Source organism: Homo sapiens, chromosome 20 (assembly GCF_000001405.40).
Source record: "Homo sapiens chromosome 20, GRCh38.p14 Primary Assembly".
NCBI lineage: Eukaryota > Metazoa > Chordata > Mammalia > Primates > Hominidae > Homo > Homo sapiens.
Genome location: NC_000020.11, coordinates 34,152,338 through 34,155,978, shown reverse-complemented (window position 1 = coordinate 34,155,978; position 3,641 = coordinate 34,152,338). Strand labels below are relative to the sequence as shown.

The following is a 3,641-nucleotide window of genomic DNA, read 5'->3' as shown; positions in this document are numbered from 1 at the left end:
TGGGGTTTTGCACTGTGTGCAATAACTCCATGGTTTCCTTGTGATATTTAATGGGGGTTTCCCCAGAGGTTAGAAATTCCCTTTTTTCCATATTGCAGCATAGGCATGTAGGATTAGATAAGTATACTTACTATCTGTAGAAAAGTCTCCCAATTACAACTGAAGAGGTGGGAGAAATACCTGGTTACATGCTGTCCCAGGATTCCTCAGATGGTAACAGACCTTGAGGACAGCTGTCCGGGACAGGAGATTAACACTGAGAAAGCTGCGCCAGTGTCCAGGAAGAAGTCAATTTCCTGGCCCTTAATGGTTAAACATACCTGGGGCTCAGTGAGGGTGATGACATGAGCTGGCGCTTGCCCCAGGCACCCTCAGTCCTGTTGCTGGATCATCTGGTTGGGGGCTTCTCGCCCAGAGAACCTTTGTCCTCTGGGGCAGCGTGCCTTCCAGTGATTGCCTCGGCATAGTGGACATGGGTGAGGGGGCAGCTTGTTTCTTGTTGGACAATCTTTTTTAAGGTGTCCTTGCACACCACTGATAACAAGCCCTACTGGGTGATTGACCTGCTCCATTTTCTCTCCTTTCTGAACCACCAAGGTTTGTTTGTCTGAGGGCCATGACTAAGGCTGCAGCCTTTCTCTGATCTCGCTTTTCCTTTTTGGCCTGTTCCTCTTGGTCTCTATTATAGAACGCTGAGGTTGCCAGGTTTAATAATGCCTCCAGATTTTGTTCAGGGCCCAGGGCTCACTTTTGGAGTTTTCTCTTGATATCTGTGGCTGATTGGGTAATAAACTTATCTTTTAGGATCAATTGGCCCTCGAGTGAGTCAGGCGACAGGGGAGTATATTTTCTTAAGGCCTCTCATAGCCGCTTGAGGAAGGCAGAAGGATTTTCTTAGTTTCCCTGAGTTATGGTGGACATCATTGAATAATTCATGGGCTTTTTCCTAATTCTCCTTAATCCTTCTAGAACACAGGTCAACAGATGTTTACAACTCCAGTCCCCATGATCTGAGTTGAGGTCCCAGTGGGGATCCATACAGGGGACAGCTTGCTGACCGGTAGGGAATTTGTCCCTTTCTTCAGCTGTCATTCTATCATTTACTTGACTAAGATACCAGGTATCTCCAAACTCTCAGGCTGCAGCTAAAGCCACATTCTTTTCATTAAAGGCCAGGGTTTGATCTAACAATAGCATGACATCTCTCCAAGTGAGATCGAAGGTTTGCCCTAGACCCTGTAGGACATCTATATACCTATCAGGATCATCTGAAAACTTCCCCAGCTCTGCCTTGATCTGCTTTAAATCAGAGAGGGAGAAGGGGACATGTACCCAGGTTGGGCCAAATTCCCCTCCCCCTACAGCTTGAAGGGGACATAACTGATAGCCTGGAGGTTTTTGTGGTCCCTGGGAGATTTCTTTGATTGTTTCCTTCTTGGTGGGGGAGATTAGAGGAGGATTATCATTAATAGGAAGGGGAGTTATAGGGAGGCTAGGATACGGGGGTAAGCTGAGAGGTCTTCCTGTGGGATGTAAATTGCAAGCTTTGCATAGTTGTGTATTCTCCTTCAGTGAAAAGAAAGCTTGGACATAAGGTATTTCACTCCATTTGCTTTCCCTCCTACAGAAAAGGTCAAGCTGCAGGATAGTATTGTAATTTATACTTCCCTCAGGTGGCCATTTTTCCCCATCAGAGATAGAATATTGGGGCCAAGCCATAGTGCAGAAAAAATTGAGCCACCTCTTTTTCAGGATTTGCAGGTCGAATTGGTCCCAATGGCTTAGGATGCATTTCAAGGGTGAGCCTGTTGATGCCTGAGTGTTTCCCATCTGAAAGACAAAACCACCCATGGTTTTGGTTTGTTTGTTTCTCCCCCTGCCGAAGAACCCACAACGGTCCCTGGACCCTGCTGATCAGAATAGTTGCGCTCACCGACGCAGCAGCACAAACACTAGTTTTCCTCCTAGACCACAAGGAGGACCAAGGAAAGTCGGATTTACTGGCCCTTACCAATGCATTCTTAAAAACCTGCGCCCTTGCCTGTTCTCCTAGACCACAAAAAGGACCAAGAAAAATTGGATTTAGTGGCCCTTACTGACGCATTCTCAAAAACCTGTTAGAGTCCTAAGTGTTCTCCTGTTAGTATTGGGACTTTACCCCATCCTATAAAGATGTTATGCCCCAAAAATGAAGTGGAGGGCCATACTCTGAGGGAGGGAAGGGATCTCCAGGGTTGGAAGACTGATGCCTTTTGTCCTCACTTGAACAGGAAGGATATCATTTCTGAGGCTCCCCATATCCTAGCTTCAGGAATAGCTTTTGTTAGGCCTGCTAGTCTGAGGAGGGATACTAAAATTCCAGATAAGATAGTCCCCCGCCCCCAACGGGGCTTTGGGCAAAAATTGTGTCTTTCTGATTAGTGAGCCTGGGTGCCTAAAGAAGGGAATAGAGTCCTGTAGTTTATACTAGAGATCATTCTTATAGGAGAAACTAGAAAAGCACCAGAGACAAGGAGTGGTTTTTAGAAGTGGGACTAGCCTTGGAGAAGAGAGGTGAGAGGAAGTTTGTCTGACAAGCATTAGGACCCAGGAGGCAAGGGTCAGGATAGATATGATAGATGGGCGAGTCTCGCTTGGGTGACATGACTTTGAGAGTTCCACTCATGGCTGCAGTGTCAACCGACTTGTTGTTGGGACCCCAGAGCTGAATGGCTTTCCATTCTGTCAACCCTCAGCTCAGCCCGGAAGTACAGGGAAAGCGGCAGCTGGTTCCAGGCAAACCAACGCTCCCAACTATGAAGAGTTGGGGGTTGTTAGAGAGTGCTTTCCCAGAAAGCCTGACACCCATGTCTTTAGTCTGGTGGCCGCACTAGTCGCTTTTAACTGGTTGACAGGTGCCCAGTATTTAACCCCCAAATTCTAAGGAAAAATAGGACAGAATAGCAAGTGAAAGGGGTCCAAAGGTACTCACTGCTTGGTGACTGTCCTGGTGGAGTCACCAAAATGTGTCCCATCTGGGTTGTCAAAATGTGTCCGGAATTGGTTCCTTCTGGTGGGTTCTTGGTCTTGCTGACTTCAAGAATGAAGCTGCAGACCCTCGTGCTGAGTGTTATAGTTCTTAAAGATGGTGTGTCCGGAGTTTGTTCAGATGTTCAGATGTGTCCAGAGTTTCTTCCTTCCGGTGGGTTTGTGGTCTCGCTGACTTCAGAAGTGAAGCCGAAGGCCTTCACAGCGAGTGTTACAGCTCTTAAAGGTGGCACGTCCAGAGTTGTTTGTTCCTCCCATTGGGTTCATGGTCTTGCTGACTTCAGGAATGAAGCCACAGACCCTCATGGTGAGTGTTACAGCTCATAAAGTTAGTGCAGCCCCAAAGAGTGAGCAGCAGCAAGATTTATTGTGAAGAGTGAAAGAACAAAGCTCCCACACTTTGTTCGAGTTAATTAAAAAGAAAAAGAAAATTAAAGAGAAAAAGAAAAAATTCTATAAATTGTTGTTGGTTACCTAGATGTATAAATTTGTCAAAAGTCACACTGTGGAAGGGGACCCAAGCGGGTTGCCGCTGCTGGCTCGGGTGGCCAGCTTTTATTCCCTTATTTGGCCCCACCCACATCCTGCCGATTGGTCCATTTTACAGAGCGCTG

The 3,641-nt window shown here is 46.8% G+C and overlaps 1 annotated feature.

The window, feature by feature from the left end:
• Nucleotides 1,153-2,080: an enhancer, noted in NCBI's record as "OCT4-NANOG hESC enhancer chr20:32741705-32742632 (GRCh37/hg19 assembly coordinates)". NCBI's record gives its function as "activates a minimal SCP1, AML or CMV promoter by ChIP-STARR-seq in naive and primed H9 embryonic stem cells {active_cell/tissue: H9 hESC(naive and primed)}" and the evidence as "EXISTENCE:reporter gene assay evidence [ECO:0000049][PMID:30033119]".